Raw genomic sequence first — 17,225 nt, 5'->3', positions numbered from 1 at the left:
CTACAAAATAACCAGCTAGCATCATGATGACAGGATAAAATTCATACACAACACTAGCCTTAAATGTAAGTGAGCTAAATGTTCCAATTTAAAGACACAGAATGGCAAGCTGGATAAAGAGCCAAGACCCATCAGTATGCTGTCTTCCCAAGACCCACCTCACGTACAAAGTCACACATAGGCTCAAAACAAAGGAATGGAGGAAAATTTACCAAGAAAATGGAAAACAGAAAAAAGCAGGGGTCACAATCCTAGTTTAAACCAATAAAGAAAAAAAAAGACAAGGTAATTACATACTGGTAAAGGGTTCAATTCAACAAGAAGAGCTAACTATCCTAAATATATATGCACTCAATACAGGAGAACCATATTCATAAATCAAGTTCTTAGAGACTACAAAGAGACTTAGACTTCCACACAATAATAGCGAGAGATTTTAACAATAATAGCGAGAGACTTTAACCAACCAATATTAGATCACAGAGACAGAAAATTAACAAAGATATTCAGGACCTGAACCCCACTCTGGATTAAGTGGACCTAATAGCTATCTACAGAACTCTCCACCTCAAGAATATGCATTCTTCTCATTGCCACATGGCACTTCCTCTAGAATTGATCACATAATCGAAGTGAAAGACTCCTCAGTGAATGCAAAAGAACTGAAATCATAGCAAACGGTCTCTCAGACCACAGTGCAATTAAATTAGAACACAAGATATAAAAATTCACCCAAAACCACACCATCACATGGAAATTACACAACCTGCTCCTGGATGACTCCTGGGTAAATAATGAAATAAAGGCAGAAATCAAGAAGTTTTTTTGAAACTAATGAGAACAAAGAGACAATGTACCAGACTTTCTGGGATGCAGCTAAAGCAGTGTTAAGAGTGAAATTTATAGCACTAAATGCCCACATCAAAAAGCTAGAAAGATATCAAGTTAACCTAACATCACAATTAGAAGAACCAGGAGCAAACAAACTCCAAAGCTAGCAGAAGACAAGAAATAAAGATCAGGACTCAGAATAAAAATGACAGATAGGAGGCAGGACTAACTTGCAGCTCCCACTTGGACAGACAGAGCGACATGTGGAGGCTCACGTCGTGAACTTTTGCTCCAAGAACTACCCACAGGAACATACCAGGAAAGCCGAGAGAATCCACAGACCCTTTGAAGGAAGTGGATTCCTGCTGCAGGCCCCTGGAGACAGCTGAAAAACTGTGATTTCCCAAAGTGTAAAAGTGTGAAAAGGAATCATCTGCCCCTGGATTTACACCCTTACTGGGGAACCTGAATGTCCAGATCACCAGAGAAGGATTTGACCTTACCTGAAGCTGAGACACATTTAGAGAGCCAAGTGAAAAACAGGAGTAGGAGAAGTAGGGGGAAGAGCCCTGGGGGCTCTCTAAGATCCCAGGGAAGCCATTTCTGACTTTGTCTCACAGGGGTTCTTGGGGAGGGCTGCCAGAGGAAATGGGAATAGACCACAGGAAGAAGGAAATTTCCAGCTGAACTTTGTAACAATTTCACCTGAATGCAAAGTTTCCTGGAGGTGAGAGTGAATCAGGAGTGCAGACACACCACAGAAGTTGCTACAGGTGGGAAGGCATAAATCCTGAAAGCCCTGCTTGCTTTCTCAGCTGGCAGGCTGGTAGCCTGGGGCTAGTTCTCAGCCCAGCTCACCCACTGCCTGGAAATAAACTCGGTGCTGTTGGATAAGTATGGTGGAAGTGAGACTGGCCTTTTGGGCTACATGGAAGCTGGGTGAGGACTGTAAGTGCTGGCTTTTCCCTACTTCTCTGGTGACCTGCGTGACACAGGAGAGACAGTCATAATTCCCCTGAGAACAACCCCATCCCCCAAGGCAGCCACAGCAAGCCGCATCCACGGAGAGTCTGCGCTCAGACACACCTAACCCTGCCACCACCTGATGGTCTTTCTCTACCTGCCCTGGTAGCCAAAGACAAAGGAAATAATCCCTTGGGAGCTCTATGGCCTCACCCACCACCTGATCCTCCCTATATTACCACCACAGCTGATGCTGTCTTGAAAGCACCACCTCTGGGCTAGAAGTCAACCAACACAAAATTAGTACAATAAACAAAGCCACAACCAAAGATCCTAACAGAGTCCACCTGATTCCCCTCCACCTCCACCAGAGCAGATACTGGTGTCCACGGCCGAGAGAACTGAAGACGGTTCACATCACAGGACTCTTTGTAGACACTCCCCAGTACCAGCCTGGAGCCCAGTAGTTCTGCTGGGTGGCTAGATCCAGGAGAAAAATAATAATCACTGCAATTTGGTTCTCAAGAAGCCACATCCCTAGGGGAAGGGGGAAAGTTCCACATCAAGGAAGTACCCCTTGGGACAAAAAAATCTGAACAGCAGCCCTTGAGTCCCAAATCCTCCCTCTGACATAGTCTATCCAAATGAGAAGAAACCAGAAAAACAATTCTGGTAACATAACAAAACAAGGTTCTTTAACACCCCCAAAGTATCACACCAGCTCACCACCAATGGACCCAAACCAAGAAGAAATATCTGAATTACCAGAAAAAATAATTCAGAAGGTCAATTATTAAGCTAATCAAGGAGGCACCAGAGAAAAGTGAAGTCCAATTTAATGAATACAACATATGAAGGGAAAAATCTTCAGTAAAATAGATAGCATAAGTGAAAAACAATCACAACTTTTGGAGAGGAGGGACACACTTAGAGAAATGCAAAATACACTGGAAAGTCTCAACAGTAGAATGGAACAAGTAGAAGAAAGAACTTCAGGGATTGAAGACAAGGCTTTTGAATTAACTCACTGCAACAAAGTCAAAGAAGAAAGAATTTTTTAAAAAATGAGCTAAGTCTCCAAGAAGTTATGTTAAATGACAAAACCTAAGATTAGTTGATGTTCTTGAGGAGGAAGAGAAATCTAAAAGTTTGGAAAACGTATTTGAAGGAATAATTGAGGGAAACTTCCATGGCTTTGCTAGAGATCTAGACATCCAAATACAAAAAGCTCAAAGAACACCTTGGAAATTTATCACAAAAAGATCATTGCCTAAGCACATTGTCTTGACTTTAGATAACTTGATGACTAAGAAAAGAATCTTAAGAGCTGCGAGGCAAAAGCATCAGGTAACCTGTCAAATTAACAGCAGATTTCTCACCAGAAACCCTACAAGCTGGAAGGGATTGGGGCCCTATCTGTAGCCTTCTTAAACAAAATAATTATGAGCCAAGAATATTGTATCCAGCAAAACTAAGCTTCATAAATGAAGGAAAGATACAGTCTTTTTCAGACAAAAAGAAAAAAAAAAATGCCAAAAGAATTCACTACTACCAATCCAGCACTATATGAACTGCTAAAAGCACCTCTAAATCTTGAAACATATCCTCCAAATAAACCAAAATAGAACATCCTTAAAGCATAAATCTCACAGAATCTATAAAACAAAAAACTATGAAAAAAAGCAAGGTATTCAGGCAACAAATAGCAGAATGAATAGAATAGTATCTCACATATCAATATTGATATTGAATGTAAATGGCCTAAATGCTCCACTCAAAAAATACAGAATGGCAGAATGGATAAAAATTCACCAACCAAGTAGCTGCTGTCTTTAAGGAACTCACATAACACATAAGGACTTAGCATAACTTAAGGTAAAGGGGTGGAAAAATATATTCCATGCAAATGGTCACAAACAGAGCAGGAGTAGCTATTCTTATATCAGAAAAAACAAACTTTAAAGCAACAGAGTTAAAAAAAGACAAAGAGGAACATTACATAATGATAAAAGTACTTGTCCAATAGGAAAATATCACTATCATAAATATATATGCACCTAACACTGCAGCTTCGAAATTTATACAATTACTACTAGAGCTAAGAAATGAGATAGACAGCAATACAATAATAGTGGGGGCTTTAATATTCTACTGACAGCAGTAGACATGTCCTCAAGGCAGAAAGTCAACAAAGAAACAACTTACTTAAACTATAACTTAGAATGAATGGACTTAACAGATATTTACAGAACATTCTACTCATCGGCACATGGAACATTCTCCAAGATAGACCATATGATAGGCCACAAAACAAGTCTCAATACATTTTAAAAAAATTGAAATTATATCAAACACTCTCTCAGACCACAATGAAATTGGAAATCAACTCCAAAAAGAACCCTCAAAACCATTCTAATACATAGAAATTAAATAACCTGCTCCTGAATGCTTGTTGGGTAAACAACGAAATCAAGATGAAAATTAAAAAAAATTTTGAATTGAATTATAATAGTGATACAACCCATCGAAACCTCTTGGATACAGCAAAGGCAGTGCTAAAGGAAACTTCATAGCATTAAATCCCTACATCAGTAAGTCTGAAAGAGCACAAATGGACAATCTAAGGCCACACCTCAAGGAACTAGGGAAACAAGAACAAACCAAGCCCAGACACAGCAGAAGAAAAGAAATAACAAAGATCAGAGCTGACTAAATGAAACTGAAACAAACAAAGCAGAAAAACAATAAAAAGACTAATTAAACCAAAAGCTGGTTCTTTGGGGAAAAAATAAAACTGATAGACAATTAGTAAGATTAACCAAGAAAAGAAGAGAGAAGCTCCATTAGAAATGAAACAGAAGGTATTACAACCAATGCCACAGAAATACAAAAGATCATTCAAGGCTACTGAACACCTTTATGTGCATAAACTAGGAAACCTAGAGGAGAGGAATAAATTCCTGAAGGTATACAACATTCCTAGATTAAACCAGGAAGAAACAGAAACTCTGAACAGACCAATAACAAGCAGCAAGATTGAAATGGTCATAAAAATAATAGCCAACAAAAAAAGTCCAGGACCAAATAGATTCATAGCTGAATTTTATCAGACTTTCAAAGAAGAATTAATACTAATCATCCTGAAACTATTCCAAAAGATAGAGAAAGAGAGAGTCCTCCCTAAATCATTCTATGAAGCTAGTGTCACCCTAATATCTAAACCACCATGCAATTCCACCTTACTTCTGCAAGAATGGCAACACTAAGAACATAAAAATAAATAGATGTTGGCATGGTGGCATGGATGTGGTGAAAAGAGAACACTTTTATACTGCTGGTGGGAATATTAAGTAGTACAACCACTATGGAAAACAGTGTAGAGATCCCTCAAAGAACTAAAAGTAGAACTACCATTTGTTCCAGCAATCCCACTCCTGGGAATCTACCCAGAGGAAAAGAAGTCATTATATGAAAAAGATACTTGACACGCATGTTAATGGCAGCACAATTTGCAATGGCAAAAATATGGAACCAGACCAAATGCCCATCAATCAACAAGTGGATAAAGAAATTGTAGTATATGTATATGTAGTATATGTATATGTATGAATACCTCTCAGCTATAAAAAGGAACAAAATAATGGCATTCACAGCAACCTGGGTGGAATTGGAGACCATAATTCTAAGTGAAGTAACTCAGGAATGGAAAATCAAACATCATATGTTCTCACTCATGAGTGGGAGCTAAGCTATGAGGATGCAAAGGCATAAGAATGACACAATGGACTTTGGGGTGTGAGGGATAAAAGAGTACATATTGGGCACAGTGTATACTGCTTGGATGATGTGTGCACCAAAATCACAAAAATCACCACTAAAGAACTTATTCATGTAGCCAAACGCCACCTGTTCTCCAAAAACCTATTGAAAAAATATAGAAAACTATACAAAATTCAAAATAAGAAAGAACCAAGATCAGAGTGAAACTGAAGGAGATAGTGACATGAAAAACACTTCAAAAAAATAAATGAATCCAGGAGCTGCCTTTTGAAAAAATTAATAAAATAGACTGCTATCTTGACTAATAAGAATAAAAGAGAGAAGAATCAAATAGACACAATCAGAAATGATAAGTGGAATATCATCACTGACCCCACAGAAATGCAAACAACCATCAGAGAATACTATAAATTTCCAGTATGCACATACACTAGATCCCAAGACTGAACCAGGAAGAAATTGAATCCCTGAATAGACCAATAACAAGTTTTGAAATTAAGGTGGTAATAAATAGCCTACCAACCAAAAAAAGCCCAGGCCCAGACAGATTTACATCTAAATTCTACCAGAGGTACAAAGAAGAGCTGGTACCATTCCTACTGAAACTATTCCAAACAATTGAAAAGAAGGGATTCCTACCTAACTCATTTTATGAGGCTGGCTTCATCCTGATATCAAAATCTGGCAGAGACACACACCCAAAAAAAAAAAAAAAAAGAAAGAAAAAAAAAGAAAGCTTCAGGTCAGTATCCTTGATGAACATTGATGCAAAAATTATCAACGAAATACTGGCAGACTGAATACAGCAGCACATCTAAAAGCTTATCCACCATGATAAACTTGGCTTCATCTCCAGGATGCAAGTTTGGTTCAACCTATGCAAATTAATAAATGTGATTCATCACATAAACAGAACCAAAGACAAAAACCACATGATTATCTCAATAGATGCAGAAAAGGCCTTTGATAAAATTTAACATCGCTTCATGTTAAAAACTCTCAATAAACTAGGTATTGAAGGGACATACCTAAAAATACTAAGAGCCATCTATGACAAACACACAGCCAATATCATACTGAATGGGTAAAAGCTGGACGCATTCCCCTTGAAAACTGGCACAAGACAAGGATGCCCTCTCTCACCACTCCTATTCAACATTGTATTGGAAGTTTGGCCCAGGAAATCAAGCAAGAGAAAGAAATAAAAGTATTTAAATAGAAAGGAAGTCAAGTTATCTTTGCTTGCAGATGACATGACCCTATATCTAGAAAATCCCATCGTCTTAGTTGAAAAGCATCTTAAGCTGATAAGCAACTTCAGCAAAGTCTCAGGATACAAAATCAATGTGCAAAAATCACTAGCATTCCTATACACCAACAACATGCAAGCAGAGAACCAAATCATGAATGAACTCCCATTTACAGCTGCCACAATAAGAATAAAATACCTGGGAATACAGCTAACAAGGGAACTGAAGGACCTCTTCAAGGAGAATTACAAACCACTACTCAAGGAATTTAGAGATGACATAAACAAATGGAAAGACATTCTATGATCATGAATAGGAAGAATCAATATCTTAAAAATGGGCATACTGCTCAAAGTAATTTATAGATTCAATGCTATTCCCATGAAACTACCATTGACATTCTTCACGAAATTAGAAAAGCTATTTTAAAATTTATATGGAAGCAAAAAGAGCCCAAATAGCCAAGGTAATCCTAAGAAAAAGAATAAAGCTGGAGGCATCACACTATCTGACTTCAAACTACACTACAAGACTATAGTAATCAAAACAGAATGATGCTGGTAACCAAAACACACATAGACCAATGGAACAGAATAGAAAAGTCAGAAATAAGACCACACACCTACAACCGTCTGATCTTTGACAAACCTGAGAAAAACAAGCAATGGGGAAAGCATTCCCTATTTAATAAATCGTGCTGGGAGAACTGGCTAGCCATATGCAGAAAACTATAGATGCAAAAATTAACTCAACATGAATTAAAGACTTAAATATAAAACTCAAAACTATAAAAACCCTAGAAGAAAACCCAGGCAATACCATTCAGGACATAGGCATGGGCAAAGACTTCATGACGAAAACACCAAATGCAAAATTTTGAAACAAAAGCAAAAATTGACAAATGAGATCTAATTAAACTGAAGAGCTGCACAGCAAAAGAAACTATCATCATAGTGAACAGAAAACCTACAGAATGGGAGAACATTTTTGTATTCTAGCCATCTGACAAAGGTGTAATATCCAGAGCCTACAAGGAACTTAAGCAAACGTACAAGAAAAAAAAAATCACATTAAAAAATGGGCAAAGGACATGAACAGACACTTCACAAAAGAAGACATACTTGTGGCCAACAAACATATGAAAAAAAAGCTCAACATCATTGATCATTAGAGAAATGCAAATCAAAACCACAATGAGATACCACCTCACACCAGTCAGAATGGCTAATATTAAAAAGTCCAGAGGCAGGCGGATCACGAGGTCAGGAGATTGAGACCATTCTGGCTAACATTGTGAAACCCCATCTCTACTAAAAATACAAAAAAAAAAAAAATTAGCCAGGTGTGGTGGCTGGCATCTGTAGTCCCAGCTACACGGGAGGCTGAGGCAGGAGAATTGCGTGAACCCGGGAGGCAGAGCTTGCAGTGAGCTGAGATTGCACCACTGCACTCCACGCTGGGTGACAGAGTGAGGCTCTGTCTCAAAAAAAAAAAAAAAAAAAAAAAAAAGTCCAGAAACAGCAGATACTGGCACAGTTGCAGAGTAAGAGAATGCTTTTACACTGTTGGTGGGAGCATAAATTAGTTCAACCATTGTGGAAGACAGTGTGGTGATTCCTCAAAGATCTAGAGGCAGAAATACCATTTGACCCAGCAATTTCATTACTGCATATGTACTCAAACGAATATTAATCATTTTATTATAAAGATACAAGCACGTGTACGTTCACTGTAGCACTATTCACAATAGCAAAGACATGAAATCAATCTAAATGCCCATCAATGATAGACTGGATAAAGAAAATGTGCTACGTATACACCATGGAATACTATGTAGCCATAAAAGGAGTGAGATCATGTCCTTTGCAGCGACATGGATGGAGTTGGAAGCCATTAATTATCCTTAGGAAACTAACACAGGAACAAAAAACCAAACACCACATGTTCTCACTTATAAGTGGGAGCTGAATGATGAGAACACATAGACACACATGGTGGGGGGAACAGCACACAGTGGGGCCTGTCGAACGGGGTAGAGTAAGGGGAGGGAGAGCATCAGAAAGAATAGCTAACGGACACTGAGCTTAATACCTAGGTGATGGGATGATCTGTGCAGCAAACCACCATGGCACGCATTTACCTGTGTAGCAAACCTGCACATCCTACACATGTACCCCTGAGTTTAAAATAAAAGTTGAAGGAAAAAAAAGAGACTTTGGTTAGCACCCAGATCAACTTTATGCCAGGGCAAAGATGTTACTCTCATTTGCAAATCTATTCAAGATCTTCCCAGGAGGTTGCCTGCACTTCCAAACTGGCAGCAAGAAGCGTAGTGTGTTTTCACTGGAAGGTAATCATGACAGCTCAGAAAGCACCTGCTGGGCCTCCTGTCAAAAAGTGACTGCTGACTCAGGGTGCTGGAGTGCAGGGGAGCAGGAAATCTGAAAAGTAGCCTGTGTCAAAGAGACCACCCTCGTTTGAAATTTGGTTGAGCAACATTTGGGCAAATCCCCAAAACAATCCTGAAAAACCATCCTTGTAATTTGTGCTTCGAGCATGGAAATCAAGACTTGCTTTGCACCCAGGATTTAATCTCATCCCCGGGGAGAGTAAGCACACCTTTATTATGCACTGATGATGTGCCTAGCACTCTAGCACCGTGCTGCGACTTTTGCATACATAATCAGCAGGGGTTTTTTTCTTTCTTTCTCACCACTGCCCTTAAGCAGTGTCAATCAGATCTCCCTTTCCACACCTAGATGACACCTTGGCAGATCTGTTAGTGTCTCAAGTCACTGTTTTCATGTACAGATGATCCCTGACTTATAATTGTTCAACTTTACAATGGAGCAAAAACAATACGTATTCAGTAGAGACTGTACTTTGAGTACTAATATAACCATTGTTTTTGACTTTCAATATAGTTTTCAATAAACTACATGAGATACTTAACACTTTATTATAAAATGGAAGCTTTGTGTTAGATGATTTGCCCAATTGTAGGCTAATGTAAGTGTTCTGAGCACATGGAAGGTAGACTAGGCTAAGCTTTGATGTTCAGTAGCTTAAGTGTATTAAATACATTTTTAATTTATGGTATTTTCAACTTACGATGGGCTTATTGGAAAACAACCCCATTATAAGTTGAGGAGCATCTATATTAAAAAGTCCACTTCAATTAGTCTCTTATCTAATTCAAAGCTTCTCCCCTTACCCAGCCTGGGGCTGATTTGCAAATTCCACAAAGCCCCACAGAGGTAGAGCTGACGGTGTTGATGTGAGAACCAGAGGTTAGGGCAGGAAATCCAGTCTCAACGAAGTGGGGGTTGTGCATTCCCTGTGCTGTCTCCTGCAGGAGCCTGGAGGAATGGGACATGCCAGGAGGAGATGAGGCCCCCCCATTCACTATTACTCAGGGAAATGTTCACCTCAGACCCTTTCAGACTTCCTTTCCCCACTGAGGTGCTGATTGTCTTGCCAGATATACCATGAACAAAGGGGCCCAGAGTAAAAAATGCTTTGGAAAAGCCTCATTTAACAGTCCATCAGGCTTCTTTCAGCAGGATGCCTCAGAACAGTGGTTCTCAAAGTGTGGTCTCTGAACCACAGCATCAGTATCAGCTGGGAACTTGCTATAAATTCACTCTCCAGCCTCACCTCAGACCCATGGAATCAGAAACTCCAGGAGCAGGGCTTGGCCATTTGTGTTTCAATAAGCCCTCCAGGTGGTTTTGGTGTGGTTAAGTTTGAGAACCTCTGTCTCAGAGACTATAATATGCTAAGGTGGGGAACAGAGTAGACCGTTTACCAAATTTTTGGACCACATTTGTCCTCCTGCTATGTACCTATGGCTATCTCAGGGACCAAAAAATCCTAGATGACACATGCTGTGAAATTCACTCAATTCATTCACACATATGTTCCAGGTACTTCCCAAGCATTGGGGATGTGACAGTGAACAAAACAGACTGTAGCCAGCCCCTTCCCACTTTCCAGCAAATGCCAGTCTCCCTCTTGCCCCACCATTCTTCCTACCCCCATTTCAAAGCTTCCCTCCCTCTGCTGACATATTTCTTCCTGCTTCTTATTTTGAGCATGAGGACTCCTCTTACCTGTGAGCCCCCACTCAAAAAAAAAAGGGGGGCAAAAAAGCAAAACCCTCTCTTAGGCCCGCCAGGCTTTCTTCCTCCTCCCAGGTTTTTGCTTGCAGGACATGCCACAGAATTCATCTAGGGATATTTTCCTCATGAATTTCCTGAACCAGCTGCTGTCTGTCAGGGCCCTGGGCACAGATTCAGAGCTGCAGAGGCACAGCCTGCCTGTTGTCGGTTGTAAGTGCCCATGTACAGAGTGAGTTTAATATTTGAGCAGGCCAGGAAGCACCTGTCTTAAATTTGGCAATTAGGAAAGGGAATATTTCTCCTCATGTGTTCCCTCTCTGAACACAATAAACTGCACAAAGACTAAGCAGATCGCTTGCCTCCAAATAGGAATTGTCTTCAAAGAGAGTCATTTTAGGATGGGGGTGAGGTCCCATCCTATGGGTTCTAACACCTCCTGCAAAAGCCTCTGAGCTTCTCAAGGTAAGTATAAGGGATATGATAGCCATTCAACAATTAGTATGTATTGGCAGATCAACTGACTGACTGAATGAATGAACAAATGATTGCATTAAGAGCTAGCGACCCTGGAAATGATTCCTGTAGAAAAGGAGAATATGAGGGTCCAGCTTGGAAACTGGGAGGGCGTTCCTGGGGATAAGGCCATGTCTGTGCCAAATCCTTGGAATTCTAGCAAACTCAGCAGTGCCGTCTGTCCAAGAAAAAGAGTTGAGAAGTCCCTGGCAGACACAGAGGGTTTTGGTTAGAAGATGAGGGCCCCATGGGGAGAAGGAAGGAGGGTACAAGTCATCAGATATGAGTGAGTCCCCATAAGACTCTAGCTAGGGAGGGGCCAATGCATGTTGCACAGGTCTCCTCACCAGTCTGTGGCTTCCATGCACATTCTGGGGATAGCAGCACCTATTTGGATTTCCACTGAAAGGTAGTGGCTTTGAAGTGAGTTGGCTCAGGGGAAATTTCAGCTCTATCCACTTACTTGGGATTGGAACTTGGGGCAAGTTTCTTAAACTTGCTGAGTGTAGTTTCTTCATCTATAAGATGGGTAGAAAATCTATCTTGCAGGAAGAATCGATTATTTATTAAATAGGTATTTATTGGTATGAGGTCACACATTATGTTAGGTGCTGAATATAGAAAGTAAAAATAGACATAGCTCTTTCCCTTAGGTGACAGACAGAAAATTAAACACTCACGTAAATAAATGTAACATTATGTCTATAAGACATCCTATGAGTAGAGGTACAAGGTGTCATACAAGCCCATAATAGAGGAATTTTACCTAGTTTTGGAGATCAGAAAGTGATGGTGAAGGAAAGGACGAGGATGAATGTCACAGCATTCAAGGCAGACAGAACAAGCAAAGGCAGCACCCTGTGGCACAGAAGCGAGGGGTGGGTTTGTGATATAGGGGTAGAGGGCAGGTGCCTTCTCCTACCCCTGCTCCTGTCAGCACACCGGTGGGTCTACCTCACCCCAAACCATGGGGATGCCCATTCCAACCTTGGAGGAAGGCTATACATAGCACAGTTCCATGTTGAGGCTGTGGAACCCGACCCCTCAGGTTCAAATTCTGATTTGATCACGTCCTGACTGCGTGATCTCAGGAGAGTTAGTTACATTTCCTGTCTGTGCCTCAAACAGAAATGATAACACTAGTAACTACCTTGAGGGGTTGTGATGATTGAGTTAATACATGTAAAACGCTTAGAACACTGGCTTACCTCATAAGTGCTAAAAGGAGTAGGTGTTACTCCTGACATTCCTTCCTTAACTCATGGCCCTCAGTTATAATACTTACATGGTTCTCGGCATGAGCCCTCTTCCCTCCCTCTGCCCAGTCCAGGAAGAGGCTCAACCCCCGATGTTCCTCATCACCCCATCTGGACCAGTGTGACTGCACCAGCCTGTAGCATTCTCTGTCCATCCCGGTCCCTCACATATTCAAGACACACATGTAATTTTACATTTTCCAGTAGCCATATTAGAAAAGTAAAAAGAAACAGGTGAATTTAATACTGTACTTTAGTCCAATATAGCCATTTATCATTTCAACATGTAATTAATATTAAAAATTATTACATTTTACATTCTGTTTTTGTACTCTTTCCAATCCATCATGATTTTACCCTAGCAGCACACTTCAATTTGGACTAGCCACATTTCAAGTGCTTGACAGTCACAGGTGACTAATGGCTCTCCTATGGGTTATAGCCCAGCTCTTGACTCTTTGATCCACAAGGATAAGAACCACATCCACTTCCACATCTCCAGGTATGAGGTAGGTGCACAACAAATGTTGGTCACAAATGAGAGCGTGGAGGGGAAGTGGATCGATGAATGGTGGTCATGTTCTGCAGAGCCCCACCTGTCCTCCCAGGCTCTTACTCTGTTACTGGGCACCGAGCCTTTTAGCCACAACGGGATCAAATCCTGGGTACCTAGTGCTAAATTACCATCCCAAAGAGAAGGTGAGGGGAGGGCTTGAAGGACCCTGGGGTTCCAGGGCAGCATCATAAGGAGGGGAGTGTGACGAAAGAGAGGCAGGGGAATATTCATGCTGTGTAAAGGAGAAAAAGAAATGATCCCAGAGGACTCAGGCAAAGAGAAGAATGGGCAGAAGGAGGGAGGCATCTCCTGACATGGCTTTCCCTGCTTCTTAAGGACTTGCCAGGGGAAGCAAAGATTAATGGGAGGAATGAGAGAGAGAATACTTCATGCAAAATGTTTCTTTCCATGCTTAATTTCTCCTTTCATTCTTTCCTAGGCAGATAAATAGCAGAGAGTGATTACACAAAACTCTTCTCACCACGGATTCCGGCATTTGTGGGCAGCTGCAGAAGAGTAGGTGGGAGGATCTCCCAGATTATGAGGCCAGTTTTTCTGTGGCTCAGAGACTGCCAGTGACTCGCTCAAGATAAAACAGCTTGTTAGTGGCAGGGATGGAGCCCAGAAATCCTGTTTCCTGTCCTCAGGAGTGTGTGTTCGAAAGAAGTTCTTGGCAAAGGTGAGAATAAATCATAGGCTCTTTGAAGAGGACTCCAGTGTATTAAACAAATAGGTTGCTGAGATGCAGTTAACTACTCAGTAATGTAGTTGAAGAAAATTAATTTTTCATTCTGCCACTCAGAATATCGAGGCTGGCCATCTGTAAACACAGCCTGTCTCTAGGAGAACAGAGGTGGAATCCTCCTTGCAAGTTTAAAAAAATAACAGAGTAATCTCAGTGGATGTCTTAAGAGAAACATAATTATAATTTAGTTGACATATCTCATATCTCAGTGATGGTAAATAAACCTTCCCTAAATAATTCAATTATAAATGTTGCTCCTTTGGAGAAGTGAACTGAACTGGTCTTGAATGGAATTGGGTAAGTGTTTCCACATACAAAAAAACAGCACGTGCTGGCGAGAAAGCATGTCCCACATCTCAGAGCTCACTGGGGACTGCCTCAGCTACTGGCTCTGTAAACCAGCAGCTCTATGGTAACGGGACTCTCCTTCAACCACATGGCTGCCTGTGTGTGTATCTGATTGCTCTGTGGGGGAGTGGCAGAGAAGAACAATGTGCATTTATAATGGAGCCCCAGTACAGACCTTTCACCACAGGGACTTCCCAGACCAATCTTGTTCTGGTGGAATTCAGAGCCACTGAATGAAATTAAAGGCCATCAGTGGGGTCATGCCATGAACATCACATCATTGCTCTAGAAAAGACAAACCCATTCCAGCCACATCTGGACCACCTGCTCCCCTTGTAGAATGATTTCTGCAGAAGGGCCAATTTGCATTTCACAGGGACCTCGAGAGAAGGCTTGTCAACAGGTTGTCTCAGCTTGGAATTCCACAGCAAAAAAAAAAGATACTTTCTTTGAACTACGAGTCAGTCTGTTAAGTTTGGGGGAATTTGTAGAAATATTTGAAGAACAGTTGCAGTTTTAAATCCATTAGGATATCTAAGATCTTAAGCACAGGCTGTTACGGATATTTGCCAAGCGGAATTTTCACTTGAGTTTTGGTCTCATATAAAGCTCTGGAAACTGATTGAAATCCAGTAATACTCTTTCCCCTCCCCCAAAAAATCAAAACAAAACAAATGCCACAAACACAAAAGCGTTCCTCCTACCACCTTTCTCTGGCTCTGGAGAGAAGGTGGAATAGTCCTTATACTTTCATGCTAGGTTCTGATTAATCACCTAGGATAGACTTTGTGAGTGCCAATTACAGGCAAAGCATGTGCTGGTTCCAAGCTTTGGTGTGACTGTGGATGTAAGAAAATGTGAATATAAATGGCCTCCCTTGTTTACTGAGATCAGTGTGGCTCATTCTTCCTGATGACTTCCATCCAACCTGCACTGTTCAGGAACCAGATTATACAGTCTTAGAACAAGACTGGGAAGGCCTCAGAGTCCAGGACTCTGTTTTGGTCTTCTCTTGTTCCCCACTATGGCTCTCAAATACAGGGCTAGGGGCATAAAAATGCAGAGTGTTCACTGCATTTGATACCATTACTCACTATGACAGAAAAAGCAGTGGCCAGAATAGTGGAGCACCACCTTTTTTTTTTTGGCATGAGAAAAATATTCCTTGAATCGTATATAATATTAGTAATTTGTAAGATGTTCTATGTGTTCAGAAAGTGCTATTTTTCAAGAAGGACCCCTTGTTAATGACAATAAAGGCTCTCATGAAAAGGTCCATAAACCTCATTCATTCATTCATCTGTTAACTAAATATGCATGGAGCCTGCCATGTATCAGGCGCCCTGCTCCACACAGAGAAAGCTAAGAGCTGGAGCCTCAGAACTGCCTGGCAAAGCCTTGTAGGCTCCCTCTCTAGTGATCTGGCAGAAGTGGATGAGGTGCTCAGACTGAAGACTATTTTAGAGGGCATTGATTCTTATGCCTGAGATTCTAAGGGATTTTGTGGCTTTATCTGCTAAGGGGAGGGCAGTTTTGAGAAGAGAAAGGGGAGGCTGAAGATGGCAGGCTCTCAAAGGTCCTCATCACCTGTAACTGTCTTTCCTGCAGTTCTTCCTAAGGAGCCCCCTTGGAAGGAGACCCCACCACTATGCCACATACTGTGGGTCCTAGGTCCTCATGTGAGGGTAAACTTCTACTTATAAACCAGGGGCTATAGCCGAATCAAGAAAAATTCTTTTTTCTGCTGTCTTTAACTGTTGGATAATAATTTTGTTCCTTTTAAGAAATTTTCTTAAAAAGTTGAATTTCTAACAACATCCTGGAGAGCTGGCTCATTAAGAGCATTCCTATTGTGTTGTCAGGATAATGGCCCCCTTATAGGTTCATGTCCTAATCTCTGAAACCTGTGAATATGTTACAGTCATGCATCGCTTAGCAACAAGGACACATTCTAAGAAATGCGTCCTTCGGTTATTTCTTCATTGTCGAACATCATAGAGTGCACTCACACAAACCTAGACGGCATAGCCCACTACACACCTAGGCTCTATGGTACAGCCTATTGCTCCTAGGCTATGGACCTGTACAGGATGTTACTGTACCAAATACTGTAGGCAGATGTAACATGATGGTAAGTATGTGTTTATTTAGACACAAGTAAATATAAAAAATGTAAAATGGTGATGCAGTATTATAATCTCATGGGACTACCTTCCTATATGCAGTCTATCATTGACTGAAATGTGATTATGTGGCACATGACTGTACTTAAACAGCAAAAAGGACTTTTCAGAAGTGATTAAATGAAGAATCTTGAGATGGGGAGAGTATCCTGGACCATTTAGGTGGGTCCAATGCTACACAAAGGTCCTCACAATTAAAGAGGGAGGCAGGAGAGCCAGACATGATGTGATGAATGAAGAAGAGGTTGAATAATGCAGTGGCTGACCTTAAAGATGAAAGGGGCTATAAGCCATGGCGTGTTGTAAACTGTAAAGTAGAAGGAAACAGAAGCTCTTCTAGGGCCTCCAGAAGGAGCACAGCCTTCCCAATACTTTGATTGATTTTAGCCCCGGAGACCCATTTCAGACATCTGACCTCCAAGATTGTAAGATAATAAACTTATGTTGAAGTCACTACATATGTGGTATATTATATGGTTGCAATAGGAAACCAACACACTCATCTTGCTCAACACACAATCCTTGCTTCTCTACACAAACTGATTTCCTCAATGTTCCCCTTTTATACTAGACTTTGTGTACGCCACTTCTGCTCTGCTGTCTCATCTCCTTCTTCCACTTCTCCCGACCAATCAGCTTTCCAAGGCCAGCTCCACACTCCACTGCACCCCATCCCCTG

General features: G+C 41.0%; 1 protein-coding gene and 1 long non-coding RNA gene across 3 annotated transcripts in view; one reads left to right on the top strand and one right to left on the bottom strand.

Moving 5' to 3' along the window:
- The window catches only part of CLSTN2 (calsyntenin 2), a 642,213-nt gene that overhangs the window by 57,523 nt on the left and 567,465 nt on the right, over positions 1-17,225 (bottom strand). The gene's annotated exons all lie outside the window — the stretch shown is intronic.
- Positions 11,086-14,257, top strand: CLSTN2-AS1 (CLSTN2 antisense RNA 1). The gene is made up of 2 exons (NR_108084.1): positions 11,086-13,223; positions 13,710-14,257. It is a non-coding gene; the product is annotated as a CLSTN2 antisense RNA 1 (long non-coding RNA).

The sequence above is a fragment of the Homo sapiens genome, chromosome 3 (genome assembly GCF_000001405.40).
Source record: "Homo sapiens chromosome 3, GRCh38.p14 Primary Assembly".
Taxonomy (NCBI): domain Eukaryota; kingdom Metazoa; phylum Chordata; class Mammalia; order Primates; family Hominidae; genus Homo; species Homo sapiens.
Note: the sequence above shows the minus strand (reverse complement) of the source record. Positions and strands in the feature narration are given on the sequence as shown.